The sequence below is a fragment of the Homo sapiens genome, chromosome 16, assembly GCF_000001405.40.
Source record: "Homo sapiens chromosome 16, GRCh38.p14 Primary Assembly".
Classification (NCBI taxonomy): domain Eukaryota; kingdom Metazoa; phylum Chordata; class Mammalia; order Primates; family Hominidae; genus Homo; species Homo sapiens.
The window spans coordinates 14,358,504-14,377,401 of NC_000016.10; the positions used below are offsets into that span (position 1 = coordinate 14,358,504).

At 53.2% G+C, this 18,898-nt stretch overlaps 1 long non-coding RNA gene across 1 annotated transcript, besides 4 other annotated features; it reads right to left on the bottom strand.

Annotated features, from left to right (window-relative positions):
• Positions 1-4,605: 4,605 nt before the first annotated feature.
• Positions 4,606-11,763, bottom strand: LINC02130 (long intergenic non-protein coding RNA 2130). The gene is made up of 2 exons (NR_131191.1): positions 11,433-11,763; positions 4,606-4,792 (listed from the first exon to the last, which is right to left on the bottom strand). It is a non-coding gene; the product is annotated as a long intergenic non-protein coding RNA 2130 (long non-coding RNA).
• Positions 5,851-6,352: an enhancer, noted in NCBI's record as "H3K4me1 hESC enhancer chr16:14458211-14458712 (GRCh37/hg19 assembly coordinates)". NCBI's record gives its function as "activates a minimal SCP1, AML or CMV promoter by ChIP-STARR-seq in naive H9 embryonic stem cells {active_cell/tissue: H9 hESC(naive)}" and the evidence as "EXISTENCE:reporter gene assay evidence [ECO:0000049][PMID:30033119]".
• Positions 14,160-14,736: an enhancer, noted in NCBI's record as "H3K4me1 hESC enhancer chr16:14466520-14467096 (GRCh37/hg19 assembly coordinates)". NCBI's record gives its function as "activates a minimal SCP1, AML or CMV promoter by ChIP-STARR-seq in primed H9 embryonic stem cells {active_cell/tissue: H9 hESC(primed)}" and the evidence as "EXISTENCE:reporter gene assay evidence [ECO:0000049][PMID:30033119]".
• Positions 15,814-15,989: a silencer, noted in NCBI's record as "fragment chr16:14468174-14468349 (GRCh37/hg19 assembly coordinates)". NCBI's record gives its function as "represses an EF-1alpha promoter that drives an FKBP-Casp9 reporter gene in an ReSE screen in HepG2 liver carcinoma cells {active_cell/tissue: HepG2}" and the evidence as "EXISTENCE:reporter gene assay evidence [ECO:0000049][PMID:32094911]".
• Positions 17,336-17,836: an enhancer, noted in NCBI's record as "H3K4me1 hESC enhancer chr16:14469696-14470196 (GRCh37/hg19 assembly coordinates)". NCBI's record gives its function as "activates a minimal SCP1, AML or CMV promoter by ChIP-STARR-seq in naive H9 embryonic stem cells {active_cell/tissue: H9 hESC(naive)}" and the evidence as "EXISTENCE:reporter gene assay evidence [ECO:0000049][PMID:30033119]".

The window sequence follows — 18,898 nt, forward strand, 5'->3', positions numbered from 1 at the left end:
TTGGATCATGGGGGCAATTTCCCGGTACTGTTAGGATAGTGAGTTCTCATCAGATTTGATGGTTTTATAAGGGGCTCTTGCCCCCCGTCACTCGGCAGTTCTTCCTGCCACCTTGTGAAGAAGGTGCTTGCTTCCCCTTTGCCTTCCATCATGACTGTAAGTTTCCTGAGGCCTCCCAAGCCATGCTGAACTATGAGTCAATTAAACCTCTTTCCTTTATAAATTACCCAGTCCCAGGCAGTTCTTACAACAGTAGAAAAATGGACTAATACAGTGACACTCTCAAGAGTAGAATGCCAGGGACATTTTCCCAAGCCCAGAGGTGAGGGCCGCCTCCCTCCTAACAAGACCAGGCAGCCCAGGACGGGGAGGAACCCCCGGGGCAAGTCTGTGCCCATTTTGGGCAGGGCCCTGGCAGGGAGTGAGGCAAACCTCAGCCCACATCTGCTCATCACTTCCCCTGCACCTCCCCAGCAAGGCTCTGCCCAGCAGATCTTGGCACATTGTCAGCACTCAACAGATATTTGTTGGATGTGTTGCTGGCTGGATAAATAGGTGGATGGACAGACAGACGGATGGATGGATGGATGGATGGATGGATGGATGGATGGATGGATGGACAGGCAAGCAGAGACATGGAGAAACAGATGATTAGATGGATACACAGGTGGATGCATGGGTGGATAGACAAATGGATAGATGGATGAATGCTTTATAAATAAATGGCTGGATTATATGGATGGATAAGTGGATGGATAGATGACAAATGAAGAGACAGATGAATACATGCATAGATAAATGAATTAATAGATGGATGGGTGAATAGATCAATGAATAGATAATAGATAGCCAGACAGACAAACGGCTGGATGGTTTTGGAAAACTTTAGGACAGAGAAGGACAACTCACTGGTCCAAGGTGCAAACTGGGTGTGGTAGGAGCAGCCCAGTATTAAGGTGAACCTCATCACCCAGCAGGAAGAGCCCTGGGGAGGGGATTTGGGCAATTCACACACCTGCAATTCACACCCCAGCCTTTGCTCATGCTGTTCCCTCTGCTTGGAAGGTCCCCTCTCTACTTCTCTGCCTACCCAGATCCCCTCAATCTCTTACAACTCATCTGGGGTTCCTGTGCCTCCAGGAAGTTCCCTGATCAGCCCTCTTCCACCTAGCCTGGTGTTGGAGGGTGGTCAGGTTCCCTCCTGCAACACCCCTCATTTGCTGTGCACGTCACCCTGGATTGGATGGGCTGTTTACTCCTGATACCCCAGGGGACCATGGGCACCTCTAGGGCTGACGCCCTGCCTGGCTTCTTTCTCCATCCCAGCACTGGGCCTGGCACACAACAGATGCTCAGGAAACATCAAACCAAAGCAAGCGAATGGAGGAAGGGATCCTGTTCCCCACTCCTCCAGCTGTACAGATACTGTAATTTGACTAGAAATACACTTGCCCAGCTAAGCCTTAAAAAACAAAATCAGGGCCAGGCGCAGTGGCTCACGCCTGTAATCCCAGCACTTTGGGAGGCCGAGGTGTGCAGATCACAAGGTCAGGAGTTTGAGACCAGCCTGGCCAATATGGTGAAACCCCGTCTCTATTAAAAATCAGCTGGGTGTAGTGGCGGGTGTCTGTAGTCCCAGCTACTCAGGAGGCTGAGGCAAGAGAATCGCTGGAACCCAGGAGGCAGAGGTTGCAGTGAGCTGAGATCATGCCACTGCACTCCAGCCTGGGTGACAGAGTGAGACCCCGTCTAAAAAAAAAAAAAAAAAAAACATCAGGCTGGATATAGTGGCTCCCACCTGTAATCCCAGAACTTTGGGAGGCAGAGGCAGGCAGATCATTTGAGCCCAGGAGTTTGAGACCAGTCTGAGCAACATAGTTGAGAACCCGGCTCTACAGAAAAATTAAATAAACAACAAAAATCAGAGCCACAAAAAAGAAGCAGACTCAAATAAAAAATACACAGTCCCAAGCTTGTAGCTTGATGAACCAGAAAAGCTTCACACACGTGTAGCACCTCATGATTCACAAAAAGCCGCCTCCTGGGCCAGCTATGCAAACCTGTCAGAAGGGCCATCTTTGCTAAGTGGGAAAGGAGGCCCAGAGCTAAAGCCACTTGTTCTGGGTCACACTGTGTGTAGGGACCAGGGCTGGGGCTAGGGGTACAGGGACCTTACCCACCAGGCTCAACATCCCCCTTCTGACCACTTAGTGTCTTTCGGGTCAACAGAGTATCCACGGCTGGGCCTTCCTGAAATGGAAAAGACTGATTTCCCCTCCTGGAAGAGGTGAGGAGGCTCAGAGAGCCTGAGCCGCCTGCCTGGGCTCACACAGCTAGGAGGGTGAGATGTGACTTAAGGGCAGGCCTGGGACCTCAGGCCAGAGTAGAGGCTTCACCCAAGAGCCGTGGGCAGAGCAGAGCAGAACCATGGGGTTCACACGGAGCTGCTCCAGTGGCTCCTGAGCAGAGTGAGGTCCCTGTTGAAGGGCACCTGGATCCCTGAGGACTCACAGCCAGGCAGCTGGGCAACCTGTGCCTGAGTCCCAGGCTGCCCCATCCTGGGCATGAAAGACAAGCCCTCTCCAGCAGCATTGACAAGACACCCTTCCAGGGCCAGGCACGGTGGCTCACACCTATAACCCCAGCACTTTGGGAGGCCAAGGCAGGCAGCTCACTTGAGGTCAGGAGTTCAAGACCAGTCAACATGGTGAAACCCTGTCTCTACTAAAAATACAAAAAATTAGCCATGTGTGGTGATGCATGCCTATAATCCCAGGTACTCAGGAAGCTGAGGCAGGAGAATCACTTGAACCTGGGAGGCAGAGGTTGCAGTGAGCTGAGATCACGCCACTGTGCACCGGCCTAGGCAACAGAGGGAGACAAACAAACAAACAAACAAACACCCTTCCTAACTGCTTAGCTCAGATTTTGGGGTCGGATGGACATGGTTTCAAATCCCAGCTCTGCCACTTGCGAGCTCGATGAGCCTCATCTAGCTGAGCCCCCCACTGTGTGTCTCTAAAGCAGCAGTAATAACACCTGCTGCAGGGCAGTCATGCCAGTCACGTGAGATCATATACTCAAGCGCCAGCCACTGAGCCCAGCAGAGGGTAGGCATCGCCATCCTCACCACCAATAGCCCCTCACCAGACCAAAACCCCACAAAGAGGGTGCAGACTCAGAGCTTGCTGCAGGGTGGGATGAAGAACAAAGAGTAAGTTTTCTGTGTTACCCCCGCTTCCCAAGACGATGGGGATGCTGGAGGTTCTAGGTGCAGACGGGGCTGGGTAAGGATTCTCCCCCACAGGACTGAGTGCCAGGGAAGACAGATGCACATGTCGAGACCAAGGGGACCCAGGAGCAACAGAACAACAGCTTCCCCTGTGACGGAGAGAGGAGGGACATCAGGCAAAGATCAGGGGGCAGGAGCTGGGTCAGCCTGGCCAGGAGAGAGAAGAAGCCAGGCCCCTTTCTCCCCTCCTGTCAGTGGGGTCTGTATTCCTCATGCCAGGGACTTCCCCCCGACTCCCCTGGTCTATCCACTGTCTCCCCAAAACATTCAGCACCAATTCTTGCCACCCAACAAGGTTGAATATCAACCCCAATGGGGCTATATTTGAATTCTTCTTTTTTTTGAGACAGGGTCGCGCTCTGTCGTCCAGGCTGGAGTGCAGTGGTGCAATTTCAGCTCACTGCAACCTCTGCCTCCCAGGTTCAAGCCATTCTCGTGCCTCAGCCTCCTGAGTAGCTGGGACTACAGGCTTGCACCACCATGCCCGGCTAATTTTTGTATTTTTAGTAGAGACGGGGTTTCACTATGTTGCCCAGGCTGGTCTCCAACTCCTGACCTCCAGTGATCTGCCCGCCTCGGCCTCCCAAAGTGCTGGGATTACAGGCGTGAGCCACTGCGCCCAGCCTGAATTTAAATTTTTTTTTTTTTTTAGACAGAGTCTTGCTCTATTGCCCACTCTGGAATGCAGTGGCAAGATCTCGGCTCACTGCAACCTCCGCCTTCTGGGTCCAAGCAATTCTCGTGCCTCAGCCTCCCGAGTAGCTGGGATTACAGGTGCTTGCCACCACGTCTGGCTAATTTTTGTATTTTTAGTAGAGACGGAGTTTCGCCATGTTGGCCAGGCTGGTCTTGAACTCCTGACCTCAGGTGATCCACCCGCCTCGGCCTCCCAAAGTGCTGGGATTACAGGCGTGAGCCACTGCGCCCGACCTGGATTTGAATTCTGATGCTCCTACTTGCTAGCAGTGGCTTGGGGCCAGTTGCTCAGCCTGCTAACTTTAGTTTTCTCTTCTGTAAAGTGGGGACTAAATATCCTGTAACAGGGGTCACATGCTGTAACAGCACAGCACCCAGGGCACGGTGAGTGCTGCGTAGTGTGAGCCGAACGCGGGCTGCTCAGGGTCACCAGGGCCAGCTCCTTGGGCCCCCAGCAACAAATACTTCACTTTCCGCCCCCCTCTCCCCGACAATGATCCGCCCGCACAGCCGCTCTGGAGAAGAGCTTGTCTGTTTCCTGAAAACTGAATATAAACTTAGACATTTATACAATCACACTCCTGGGCATTTATCCCAGAGAAATGAAAGCTGATGTCCACATGGAAACCTGTAGCAGCTTTATTCATAACAGCTCCAAATTGGAAACAGCGCAGATGCCTCTCGATAGTCGACCGGTTCAGCAAACCGTGGCCCCTCCACACCGCGGAACACCACTGAGCAATAAGACGAATGAGCTGCCGATACTCGCCACTACTTGGATGATCTCAAGGGTGTTTATGCTGCCTGGGGAAAAAAGCCAACCTCAAAAGTCACATCCTGGATGATTCTATTTCTATAGCATTCTCAAATGACAAAGTTACAGAGATGAAGACCAGATTAATGGCTGCTGGGGGGCAGGGACAGTGGGGGAATGGGGTGAGTGTGACTGCCTGGGGATCTTGGTGGTGATAGGGTGATTCTGTTTTTTGTTGCAATGGTGGTTTGTGTGAATCTACACAGACAAAACAGCATAAAACTATACATGCAGGTTGGAGCGGTGGCTCACCCCTGTAATCCCAGCACTTTGGGAGGCCAAAGTGGGCAGAGCACTTGAGGCCAGGAGTTCAAGGCCAGCCTGGCCAACATGGTGAAACCCTATAACTATTAAAAATACAAAAATGAGGCCAGGTGTGGTGGCTCACACCTGTAATCCCAGCACTTTGGGAGGCTGAGGCGGGCAGATCACGAGGTCAGGAGATCAAGACCATCCTGGCTAACACGGTGAAACCCCGTCTCTACTAAAAATACAAAAAAATTATCCAGGCGTGTTGGCAGGTGCCTGCAGTTCCAGCTACTAGAGAGGCTGAGGCAGGAGAATGGCATGAACCCGGGAGGCGGAGCTTGCAGTGAGCCGAGATTGCGCCACTGCACTCCAGCCTGGGTGACAGAGCGAGACTCTGTCCAAAAAAAAAAATACAAAAATGAGCTGGTTGTAGTTGTGGGCGCCTGTAATCCCAGCTACTCTGGAAGCTGAGGCATGAGAATTGCTTGAATCCAGGAGGCAGAGGTTGCAGTGAGCGGAGATTGCACCACTGTACTCCAGCCTGGGTGACAGAGAGAGACTCTGTCTCAAAATAGTAAAAACCAAAAACTATACACGCGCTTTCTATTAATACCAATGTCAATTGCCAAGTTTTGATATGACAGATAATGATATTGGACATTGGATATTGTAGATCATGTGAGATGTAGCCATTGGGGGGAAATAGGTGAGGGGTACACAGGGCCACTGGGTAATCTCTGCAATTTCCTGTGGATCTATTATGATTTCAAAATTTAAAGTTTTAAAAAATGACATGCATGGTATGATGTCGGCAATTCGCTTTGAAATACTCCAGCCAAGAGAGGGAAGAGGCCGGAGAGGGAGCCTGCAAAGAGGTGAAACTAGAGTGGTAAAGTGCTTCTGCTGCCGAAGCAAGGGCGGGGATGCCGGAATGGCGGCTCGGTCTTCTCCACTGTGCATTTTTGAAATTTTCCATAATGAAGATGTAACTCTACCAAGCCGATATGCATGGGTGGGCTCACGTACACCCAGACACCCGCACGCAGGCATGCACCGGAGCGCTGACTCACGCTGCTCAGCCCAGGAATTCTTGCAGACGGCTGTGTGTCCACATGTGCGGTAAAGCAAATAAATAACGCTTAAACACCCTCGTGGAATCTGGCCACGCCAGGTCACATGTGTGTCAGGACACCTGCAGGGCAGGGCGGAAAGGGGTCCAGGGCTGCTTTGAACTTCCTGGAAACTGGGTGGGGTGGAGTTGGGTAATGACTATGATGGCTCACAATGGGACAGGGTCATAGGGAGGGGAAAGCTCCCAAGAAGAGGTGGCATTCGCAGCACAGGCTCCCTGGGCTGCCCCAGAGTCGGGGGCTGGAGAGGAGTGGGCTTCTGGGCCAGGGAAGGCTGGGAGTGGGGACGTCACTGCAGGGGGGCCGAGAGCCCTCAGTGTGGTGAGGGGACGGGAGGGGCTGTGGTGGTCACTCCACCTGAACCCCTTGATGGCGCCATTATTTCAGGATTTTTAAATGATGACTTAACCTCGGGGGAAGCACTTACTTGCTTGGGGCTTCAGTTTTGTCAACTAGAAAATGGGCCTGATGACAACACGAATCTCACAAGGTTGCCTTGACGGTCAGGCGAAGTGGCTATGGCCGTGCCCGGGGCCAACTTGGTGCCAGGCCCTGCGCTAAGGGCTCTATATGCATTAAATCCTTCAATATATGGTGCTGTTACTACCCCCATTTGCCAGATGAGAAACTAAGGTTCGGAGAGATTGATAAACTTTCCCGAGGTTACACAGTCATTAGGTTGAGGAGCTGCCATTTACATCTGCAGGTAAAGCACTTAGTTCAAACCCGCCCCCAGAAAGTGTTATTTTAAAGTTTAAAGTATGTTGAGGCCAGGTGCAGTGACGCATGCCTGTCATCCCAACATTTTGGGCAGCTGAGGCGGGAGCATGGCTTGAGGCGAGGAGTTTGAGAAAAGCCTGGGCAACATCATGAGATCCTGCCTCTCCAAAAAATGTTAAAAATTAGCCACATGTGGTGGCATCTGCCTACAGACTCAGCTTCTCGGGAGGCTGAGGGAGGAGGATGGCTCAAGCCCAGGAGTTTGAGGGTATAGTGGGCTGTGATCACGTCACTGCATTCCAGCCTGGGTGACAGAGCAAGACCCTGTCTCTTTATTTAAAAAAAAAACAAGGCTGGGTGCGGTGGCTCATGCCTGTAATCCCAGTACTTTGGGAGGCCAAGGCGGGTGGATCACCTTAGGTCAGGAGTTGTTTCTTTTTTTTTTTTTTTTTTTTTTTTTTTTTTTGAGACGGAGTCTCGCTCTGTCGCCCAGGCTGGAGTGCAGTGGCGCAATCTTGGCTCACTGCAAGCTCCACCTCCTGAGTTCACACCATTCTCCTGCCTCAGCCTCCTGAGTAGCTGGGACTACAGGCGCCCGCCACCACGCCCAGCTAATTTTTTGTATTTTTAGTAGAGACAGGGTTTCGCCGTGTTAGCCAGGATGGTCTCGATCTCCTAACCTCATGATCTGCCCACCTTGGCCTCCCAAAGTGCTGGGATTACACCAGCCTGGCCAACATGGTGAAACCCCGTCTCTACTAAAAATATGAAATTAGCTGGGCGTGGTGATGGCCACCCAGCTACTTGGGAGGCTGAGGCAGGAGAATCGCTTGAACCCGGGAGGCAGAGGTTGCAGTGAGCCGAGATCATGCCATTGCACTCCAGCCTGGCCAACAAGAGCAAAACTCCATCTCAAAATAAATAAATAAATAACTAAAAAACGAGCAAGCAAAAAAACCCAAAGCATGTTTATAGCTTGAACACTTGCTGGGATGGAAACACAGGGTAGAAAATGGCTATCTGGGGCGGGCATGGTGGCTCGCGCCTGCAATCTCAGCACTTTGGAAGGCTGAGGCAGGCAAATTGCTTAAGACCAGGAGTCTGAGACCAGCCTGGGCAACATGGCAGGACCCTATCTCTACAAAAAATTAAAAATTAGCTGGACATGGTGGTGCGTACCTGTAGCCTCAGCTACCTGGGAGGCTGAGGCGGGAGGATCACTTGAGCCCAGGAGGTCAAGGCTGCAGTGAGCCATTATTGTACCACTGTACTGCAGCCCGGGCAACAGAGTGAGACTCTGTCTCAAAAAGTAAAAAAAAAAAACGTAAGGCAGCATGGCTCATGCTTGTAATCCCAGCACTTTGGGAGGCCAAGGAGGGTGGATCACCTGAAGTCAGCAGTTCGAGATCAGCCTGGTCAACATGGTGAAATCCCGCTATCTCCATTAAAAATACAAAAAATTAGCTGAGCATGGTGGCGGGTGCCTGTAGTCCCAGCTACTTGGGAGGCTGAGGCAGGAGAATCGCTTGAACCCACGAGGCGGAGTTTGCAGTGAGCAGAGATTGCACTATTGCACTCCAGGCTGGCAACAAGAGTGAAACTCTGTCTCAAAAAAAAAGAAGAAAAGAAAAGAAAACAACTGTTTCCACTTAAAGACCTGCTACCAGACTTACCAGCTGAGTCTACAGGCAGATGCCACCACACATGACTAATTTTTAAAATTTTTTGTAGAGATGGGATCTCACGATGTTGGCCAGGCTTATCTCAAACTCCTCGCCTCAAGCCATGCTCCCGCCTCAGCTGCCCAGAATGTTGGGATGACAGGCACGCACCACTGCACCTGGCCTGAACATACTTTACAATTTAAAATAACACTTTCTGGGGGTGGCTTTGAACTATGTGCTTTACCTGCAGATTTAAAGATTTCCTGGAGGAAAGACAGGGACTGGAAGCACCCAGGTACTCCCGCCCCTGACCCCCTTGCCTCCAAGGACAACAGCTCCCACCAAAAACGGCCAGTTGCACCCAGCAAGCTGGGAGCGTGGGTAGCAGAGAGGGAGTCCCAGGCAGCCGAGCCGGTAGTGCCCAGCCCAGCCTACCACAGCTCCTGGCCCTCTGAGCATCAAATGTCACAAGGGGCTCCAGTGCCAGGGAACAGCAGCAGGGGCTCCAGGGCAAAGAGGATGACTCTCAGTCACCAACTTCAGAAGCAGTGCCACCTCACTCAACCCCATGTGACTCAGCCTCAGTTTCTTCCATACCGTGGGGCTGGCCAGGCCTGCCACCCAGGCAGCTGTGAGAACTGATCAGTGCCCACATGTCCCGGTCACCCCTGACTTTCCTTCCCTTCCCTGAAGCACCATCTCTTCACAGAGAAGTAAAAAGGTAGCCACGGCCGGGCGCGGTGGCTCACGCCTGTAATCCCAGCACTTTGGGAGGCCGAGGCGGGCGGATCACGAGGTCAGGAGATCGAGACCATCCCGGCTAAAACGGTGAAACCCCGTCTCTACTAAAACTACAAAAAATAGCCGGGCGTAGTGGCGGGCGCCTGTAGTCCCAGCTACTTGGGAGGCTGAGGCAGGAGAATGGCGTGAACCCGGGAGGCGGAGCTTGCAGTGAGCCGAGATCGCGCCACTGCACTCCAGCCTGGGCGACAGAGCGACACTCCGTCTCAAAAAAAAAAAAAAAAAAAAAAGGTAGCCACACCCCACAAGAACAAAAGGGTGGTGGTATTCAAGGGAGAGATGGGCAGCCCATGGCCCTGCTGGGGTGGCCCCAGAGATGGGCCTGCCCAGGGGGACGTAGGCAGGCAGGGGGTCAGCAGGGGCTGGCATGAGGGCAGCTCTGCTCACAGGGGCCAGCCTCTAGGGGATGGGACCTTCACCCCCAGACCTGGGGAAGAGCTGCCCTTCTGGCTGGGCACCGAACACAGGAATCCCTAAGAGGCTTGGTCTTTTCTTCTTCTGTAGCCCCCAGATGATAACATTCCTTACAGATAAAGTGAGGCACTGAAACACTTCATACAGAAACCAGGGATGTTCCAGGCTTGAGCTGGGGTGGTGGGGGTGGGGGGAGGTACAGTGCCCAGGGCTCCAACAGGGCAGCTCACTCATCTCTGAGCTGGCCCCAGCCTTACCCCATCTGTAAAGAATAAGAGCTTGATGGGCTTCAAGCCACCCAGTTGAGCTGATATCACAGGCTCCTTCATGCCCCAGGGCCTTTGCACAGCCAGCTCCCCCGTCCTGGGACGCCTTCCCTGCTTTATCCCAACACCGACTCCTTTGCAAACATTTTCTCCCTGAAACTTTCCCTGGTCCCTTCCCATTCCTTCTCCCCTGGAAGAATGAGCCCCTAGGACCCAGGGGCAATTCTATCCAGGCACCTCTAAAACTGGAACCCATTCAGCTGCGCACACTTGGCCATGGCCCTCCCTGATGCTTGAAAGGGGTCAGGCTTATCAGCTATCAAGAAGAGATTCTCGCTGGGCACAGTGGCTCACGCCTGTCATCCCAGCAGTTTGGGAGGTTGAGGCAGGAGGATCACTTGAGGTCAGGAGTTCAAGACAAGCCTGGCTAACGTGGTGAAACCCCATGCCTACTAAAAATACAAAAATTAGCCGGGCATGTTGGTGAGCACCTACAGTCCCAGCTACTTAGGAAGCTGAGGCACCAGAATCTTTTGAACCCGGTAGGTGGAAGTTGCAGTGAGCCGAGATCATGCCACTGCACTCCAGCCTGGGTGATAGAGCAGGATCCTGTCTCAGACAATTCTGAGTGAAAGGATAGCACATTTTGCAGGGTGCAAGGGTGACCTGCCAGGCCTTCACGTGTCCCAGACTCTCCTCCTGGCCCTTACCTGGGGACCCGTCCCGTAGAAGAGGTGCCTCAGAGTGAAGCACTAACAACAGTGACTCCCATCTCGCAGCCAGGGCGGATTCTCCTTTCAGACATGCTTGATGCAAAGGTCTCCATCCCATTTCTTGGGCTCCTGGACACCCCACCCCATCACCCTGGCTGGGCACAGGCCAGAGTGAGGAAGGAGCTGAGGATGGGTGGAAACATCATCCTGCCACCTGCCTGTGTCCTCTGCAGACAGCGCCTGCTCTCTCCACACATCCAAAGCCTGACATGACCAGGCACGGTGCCTCATGCCTGTAATCCCAGCACTTTGGGAAGCTGAGGCAGGATGATCATTTTCGGCCAGGAGTTCAAGACCAGCCTTCCCAACATAGCAAGACCCCATTTCCACCAAAAAATTAAAAATTAGCTGGGCGTGGTGGTGCACCTGTAATCCTAGCTCCTCGGGAGGCTGAGGCGAGAGAATTGCTTGAGGCCAGGAGTTCGAGGCTGCGGTGAGCTATGATCGTGCTACTGAACTCCAGCCTGACAGTGACGTGACCCTCTCTCAAAAGAAAAGAGCCTTAGAGCTAGAGTAGAGATGCTCCCAAAATGCAAGTGAATGAAGAATGAGGAATGATGGTGGCCAAGAGCCCAGAGGCTTAACCGCAGCAGCGGCAGGAACATGCACTTACATGGTGCTTCCTGTATGCCACACCCTGCTCCAAGCGCGTTTCTACTTCAGCTTGTTCAATCTGCACAAGGCTTCAGTGAGGCATGGAGGGGAGGTGGCAGAGCTGGGGTCCCCGTTCCCAGTCTTGGCGGTCTGAGCTTTGTGCTGCATTAGATGTACCAGTTGGCTGGGGGGGGCATCTGTGAAATGGGTGTCCAGTTGCACCCCCTCGCCCCCTAGAGTCCCACCAAGAAGCTGTGGCAGGGCAGTGGGGGAGGACTCAGGAGGGGTGTTGCAGACCCGGCTTTGGGGGGTTCCTCAGATGTCGGCAGAGGGAGTGAGCCAGAGCCTGGGAACTCCTGGTCTGGGGAGGAGAGCCCTGAGCCATGTGCAGGCCACAGGGATGGGCCACCGAGGGCCATGGGAGCTGCTGACCAGGCTGGGCGTGGCGCGCCAAGCAGCAGGCACGGCGCCTGCTCCCGGTCACTCTGACCTCCGACGCAGGCCAGCTGGGAGTCACTCTTTCCAAGCCCATCAGCAGAGCTTGCCTGCGGCTGTAACCAGGAAGCTCAGGGTGGAGGAAACTGTGGGCTCTGGCTTCCAGCGGCTTCCACGGAGGCCACATTTGCCAAATTTCATCCCAGGCTCCCAGATCCCTGAGGATTTGCCATCTCCACGCATTTTATCTTCACATTCACTTACCTAATAGCTGCCTTACAAATCTTATAAGAGGGCCTCACAAACAGACATTCATTATTCATTGGAAATGAAAGTACTCTACCACGACCTGGTGAAGCCAAGTTTGATGGGCTACTTATACTTTTTTCCCCCTAAGGCTTTACAGAAAGTAAATAACCACAAAAATAAAACCTGGCTCACCTGTGTCCCACCTAAAATCATCATGCATTTGGCCAGGAGTACTAGTGCCTCATCCTGTCCAGCTTCTGAGAAGGGGGGGGTCTCAGGGTGTCACTCCCTAACCCGCAGACCCAGGAGGGCCCCCTTCCAGGCTTTCACAAAAGAGGGCCATGCTGGGCGTAGTGGCGCATGCCTGTAGTTCCAGCTACTCGGGAGACTGAAGTGGGAGGACTGCTTGAGCCCAGGAGTTCAAGATCAGCCTGGGCAACACAGCAAGACCCTGTCTTTTGAAAAAGTTGGGGGGCGGAGGGGCAGGTTCTGGTGCATTCCCTCGAGCTTGAGTGTAGTAAGTACCAGGGGTGGGGTTACAAAGCTGAAAGTCCCCATATCTTCCCTGGGAAGAGACCTCGGAAGTCAAGTTCAGCTGGGCTGGTGTGGTTAGAAAGAGCCCCTCTGGGATCAGAAGCCAGTAGCCCTAGGTTAGAGCTCAGCCTGCCTGCTAAGTCACCAAGTCACCTGGGCCAGTCATTTCCGCAGCCTGGGCCTCTGTGCGACCAGGAGTGACCCTCCCTAATGGGATTTAGCTGCCGGCACATCTTGGGCCCCATATAAAGAGCAACAATGCTTCACAACCAAGACAGAAGTGACGGGCGACCATATCTCTTGGTTGGTGGGTGTGACAGCAGTGTTCCAGCCCTGTAAAAATCTCAGGCATAAACAGATTAAGAGATGCCAAATAGGCCGGGCGCAGTGGCTCACGCCTGTAATCCTAGCACTTTGGAAGGCCGAGGCGGGCAGTTCACCTGAAGTCAGGAGTTCGAGACCAGCCTGGCCAACATGGTGAAACCCCGTCTCTACTAAAAATAAAAAAAATTAGCCGGGCATTTTTTGTATTTGTATTGGCGCGCACCTGTAATCCCAGCTACCCAGGAGGCTGAGGCAGGAGAATCACTTGAAGCTGAGAGGTGGAGTTTGCAGTAAGCCAAGATTGTACCACTGCACTCCAGCCTGGGCAACAGAGGGAGACTCTGTCTCAAAAAAACGAAAAAAGAAACCATGTACCCATTTCCAGGTCACAGAGTGAGACTCCAACTCCAAAAAAGAAAAAAAGAGAGAGAGAGAGAGAGATGCCAAATAGGTGCTGCTCCGTAATGAGCTGTTCAGTGGCTGGCCACCTTTTTTCCCCAGGTTCCCTGCCTCAGTCCCTCCATCTGCAAAATGGGTGAGACTCCTGGTTAAATAGGGACGAGGAGAGACTGAGAGTCGGTTGTTGCCTGGGCCTATGGACTTTGTGTTCCAGTCAAAGTCTTCCAGGGTGGCCAGGAGAAGGACACACAATAGCTGGTGCCTTCCCAACGGTGGGGGACCAGGGTGGTCTCCCCGGCAACCCTCAGCCCTTCAGTCCAGTGGTTGGGAGGAGGAGTTGACACCCATTACCCCACCCCCTCCCTCAGGATTAACCTGATGGCTTAGACCAGTCCCAGCTCCCCCACATAGTGGCCCAGGCCTGTCATTCAGCCCAGGGCTGGCCAATCAGGACGAAGCTTAGAGCTAGAGTTGCCAGATTTCACAAATAAAAACACAGGATGCCCAGGTAAGTTTGAATTTCAGATCAATAACAAGTAACTTTTTTTTAGCATACATTACTCATTGTTTACCTAGATAACTTCGTGTCTTATATTTTATCTGGCAATCCTACTTGGGATTCTCCTCAGCCAATTATGGAAAGAAACCCTCCCCCACCTGTATCCCAGGGCCTCCAGCAAGAAGCAGGTGGTCCTGCTCCCATCCGCTGCCACCCCCCATCCAGAGGGCGGCAGCTGACAGCAGCAGCCCCACACAAAGGAAGTGCAAGGCCGCCTTGGAGGGCAACGGCTCCCCTGGGCCTCCCCTCCCCTGCCTGCAGGCAGCTCCACTTACTGATTGAGCCCCTGTGGGCCAGGCACTGCCCTAAGTGTGCTTTAAGTACATGTTTTTGGCTGGGCACGGTGGCTCATGCCTGTAATGCCAACGCTTTGGGAGGTCGAGCGGGGGCAGATCACTTGAGGTCAGGAGTTCGAGACCAGCCTGGGCCACATGGTAAAACCTCGTCTCTACTAAAAATACAAAAATTAGCTTGGCATGGTGGCGTGCGCCTGTAATCCAAGCTACTCGCTTGAACCCAGGAGGCGAGGGTTACAGTGAGCCGAGGTCGTGCCACTGCACTCCAGCCTGGGTGACAGGGCAAGACTCAGTCTCAAAAAAAAAGGCTGCATGTTTTTGCATCTTTGCAAGAAAGCAGCACAGATGAGATGCTAAGGCTAAGAGCCACTCGGCAACTGTGAGGCTGGACTGGAAGCCAGATCTCTGTTCCAGCGGAGCAGAGCACTGCCCTTCTGGAAGGTTCCACAGCTCTCATTTTGCCACAGGCAGGTATGGAGTTGGGGAGCAGGGGATTGACTGCTAGCAGTTAATGTGTCTAACCTAAACTTTACAAGTCAGGAAACACAGAGTAGGATGACACCCACTGAGTGCAGGAGAGGAACAGGCGGCTGGGCCACCTGCAACTCCTTGAGATGGACAGCCAGGCCTAGGACGCACACACTGAGCTGGACCCCGTTCCACCAGATTTTGCTCCTTTTAAGCATGAAAGGGCCATGACATCAAATCCCATGGGGTAGGGCAGCCCCCCTGGGGACCGAATCTGTCAAGGAAGGGGCACGGACCACCCAGGGCTAGGGTGGGTGAGAGCCGCGCCTGGGGAAGCCAGGACAAGCCACGATAGCAGCCAGTGAAAATGAGGGTCAGGCACTGGCTGGCCTTGTTCTAGAACCCCGTGAGGGCCGGCTCCAGGCCCACGCCCAACACGGGCAGCAGAGCAAGGAGCCGGGCACGGAGCCCTCCCACCCTGTTCACATCCAGCAGCTCCCTGCCTTCCCCCGTGAACCCTGAGCCCAGCCTGGTGCTGTCCTTGGCCACCTAAGACAAGGAAGAAGCCCACCCGTCCTGAGACCCCAGGCCCAGCTTTCCAAATCCTCAAACCCAGAGCTACTGCAGGAGGAGAAATTTTTTTTCTTTTAAATATGTCAGAAACAGGGTCTCGCTCTGTGGTCCAGGCTGGAGTGCAGTGGCGTGATCATAGCTCACTGTAGCCTCGAACTCCTGGGCTCCAGTCACCCTCCCACCGCAGCACCCCGAGTAGCTGGGACTACAGGCACGTACAACCCCACCCAACTAATTTTTGTAGAGATATGATCTGGCTGTATTGCCCGGGCTGGTCTTAAACTCCTGGGCTCAAGCCTCAAGCCATCCTCCCTCCTCGGCTTCCCAGAGTGTTGGGATTACAGGCATGAGCCACCACGCCCAGCCTAGGAGGGATTGTCATTTCAGCTATTCAGTCCCTGCCGCCCACTCTGCACCAGGCCCAAGGAGGAGCTGGGGACAGAGGTGAATATGGCACACTCTCTGTTCCCAAGGAGCCAAGTCAGCCAGGGGAGACGGAAAAGGACAGCCTTGTGTGACCAGTGCTGGGACCCCAGCCACGCACAGGGGCTGCAGAAATCCATAGGAGAGCATTTTCTCCCGACCTGGAGGAGGTGACACCCTGATTCTCGCCTGATTCTCTTTAACCACAGCTAATGCTTTGAGATGGATTACATCCCACTTTGCAGAAGAGGAAACAGATGCGGAGAGGTAACAGCAATGCCTAGTGAGGGCCAGGGAGGGGATTTGAACCCAGGGCTTCCAACTCCATCATTCCCAGAAAGCACTTTGGGAAATGACTGTTTCTTCTGTCCAGGGAGCCTCTTGTCACACTCAGCCAACTCATGTCAGGCACCAGAGCCAATGTCAGGCCTCCTGCTCAGGCCCCAGTCAACCCCGTCTGCTGGGAGATTTTCTCCCGCAGAGGTCACAAGTTCACAGGACCCAAGCCCAAAGCGGGAGGCACAGACAGCAGCCCTGGGGTTCTCCCAGTAGTCGGAAACGGGCTGGCTGCCTCTGGGCTCACACTGGGATCATCAGAGCAGCAGCTCAGGCTCGGATGGCCAGAATTAGGGTGGGTTGGGGTCATGGAGGGAAGAAGGCCCCGGAGATCTGATGGCTCCTAGCCTGAGGCTCTCTGTGTTTGGGCATGAACCTATGATACAGTTTGTCAGTGTCTCCACCCAAATCCCATCTTGAATTGTAGCTCCCATAACCCAGCGAGAGGTAACTGAATCACGGGGGTGGGTCTTTCCCCTGCTGTTCTCATGAGAGTGAATAAGTCTCATGAGATCTGATGCTTTTATAAAGGGGAGTTCCCATGCACACACTCTCTCGTGCCCGCCACCATGTAAGATGTGACTTTGCTCCTCCTTGGCCTCCCAAACTGCTGGGATTACAGGCGTGAGCCACTGCGCCTGGCCAGCTACATGGTTTCTTTTTGGAGCGATGGAAATGTGTAAGATTAGTTTGGGGTGATGGTTGCAAAATGACATAGATTTACTAAAACTCATAGGATTGAACACTTCAGATGAGGGAATTTTATGGTATGTAAAGTATGTCTCACTAAAGCTGTTGAAATGAAGGCAGCCTCCCAGGGCCCAGAGAGGTATCTAAAGACTCTGGTTATGCCAGCCGCGGTGCCTCACACCCGTAATCCCAGCATTTTGGAAGGCCAAGATGGGAGGATTGCTTGACTCGAAGAGTTCAAGACCGCCCTGGGCAACATAGCAAGACCCTGTTTCTTTATAGTTTAAAAAAAGACAAAAAAATAAGGACCCCGGTTTGAAATGCATTAAAAATTAGAAATAGAAAAAAAATTAAAAATAAAGACTCCCAGCCTGGTGTGGTGGCTCACGTCTGTAATCCCAGCACTCTGGGAGGCCAAGACAGGAGGATCACTTGGGGTCAGAAGTTCAAGACCAGCCTGGCCAACATGGCGAAACCCCGTCTCTACTAAAAATATAAAAATTAGCTGGGTGTGGTGGCACGTGCCTGTAATCCCAGCTACTCGGGAGGCTGAGGCAGGAGAATCACTTGAACCCGGGAGGCGAAGGTTGCAGTGAGCTTTTGCACTGCAGCAGAACAAGACTTCCTCTCAAAAAAAGAGACTCTTCTAGACAGACAGACCCTGCCTGAGCACATGACCTGGCCAGGGGGCCTTCCTACATGTCCTTGTCCTAAAGCAAGCTGTAGGTACCCTCTTCTTGGGGCAGCCGTGGGCAGGACTTTGCCCAGCTATTCCTCCCTCCCCACCAGTCCCTCTGAGGACAGGTCCCCAGAGAGAGGCAGGCAGGAGTTCCAAGGAGGGAAGGGGCCCTGTTGTTCGAGTAATAAGCTCATTCTGATGCTCCAGGAGCCTCCTGGGGATGGCAGCCATGGTTAATCAGCCAGATGGCTTGGGCAACATGAACTGACGTTGGTGCCAGCTGTGTGAGGGGCACAGGGCAGGGGGGCCAGGCGGCTGGCAGTATGCCCCCTTCCCACTTTTTTTCTCCCCTGGGATCAGAGAAAGGAGGCCTCTTGCCATCAACATGGAATCTCCACCCCCAGGTTCTTCAAACAGAGGCAGACCCCTCTACGGCTGAAATATCAGAGGGCAGAGAGCGCCACGTGCACCCCAGGCCCCCACCAGCTCGGGGACAAGGGGCATTGGCAGTGCAGATTCATGGTTACAGTCACAGAGCCTGGAGTCAGGCCACCTGGCTTCAGATCCCAGGTGGGTCACTATGAGGCTGTGTGACATCCAGCAAGTGTTTTTCTTGTTGTTGAGACAGAGTCTCGCTCTGTCGCCCAGGCTGGAGTGCAGTGGTGCGATCTCGACTCACTGCAGCCTCCATCTCCCAGGTTCAAGCGATTCTCCTGCCTCAGCCTCCGGAGTAGCTGGGATTATAGGTGTGCACCACCACACCTGGGTAATTTTTGTTCTTTTAGTAGAGACGGGGTTTTGACATGTTGGCCAGGCTGGTCTCAAACTCCTGCCCGCTAGTGATTCACCCGCCTTGACCTCCCAAAGTGCTGAGCCACCAAGCCCAGCCCCAAGTCTTTTTTTTTTTTTTTTTTGAGATGGAGTCTTGCTCTGTTGCCCAGGTTGCAATGCAGTGGCACAATCTCAGCTCACTGCAGCCTCCATCTCCCAGGTTCAAGCAATTCTCCTGCCTCAGCCTCCTGAGTAGCTGGGATTACAGGCACCCGCCACCATGCCTGGCTAATTTTGTATTTTTAGTAGAGACGGGGTTTCACCATGTTGGCCAGGAGAGTATCGAACTCCTGACCTCGTGATCTGCCCACCTCTACCTCCCAAAGTGCTGGGATTACAGGCCCCAGCAAGTCTTATAATGTCTGAGCCCTCACTTTCTTATCCAAAAAAGTGGCCATAATAATAACAGTGCCCTCCTGGCAGGCTACAGCCAGGATGAAAGCAGTGGGCATAGAACTTTCTGGGATCCTCATCATCCTCCTGAGCTCCTCCCAATAGCGGAACTGGCACGCGGCAGAGCTCAGAGGGTGGATCTCCAGGGTAAAGGGGCCAACAGGTCCCAAGCAATTCGTTAGGCTTCATGGCTGGACGGGCGGCCACTTCTTTTGTTGCAGCTTTTTTCTAAAACCCTGAGATTTCCCCTAACAGGGAAGTAAATGTAGAGAATTCAGAATGAGCCCTCATGTTCA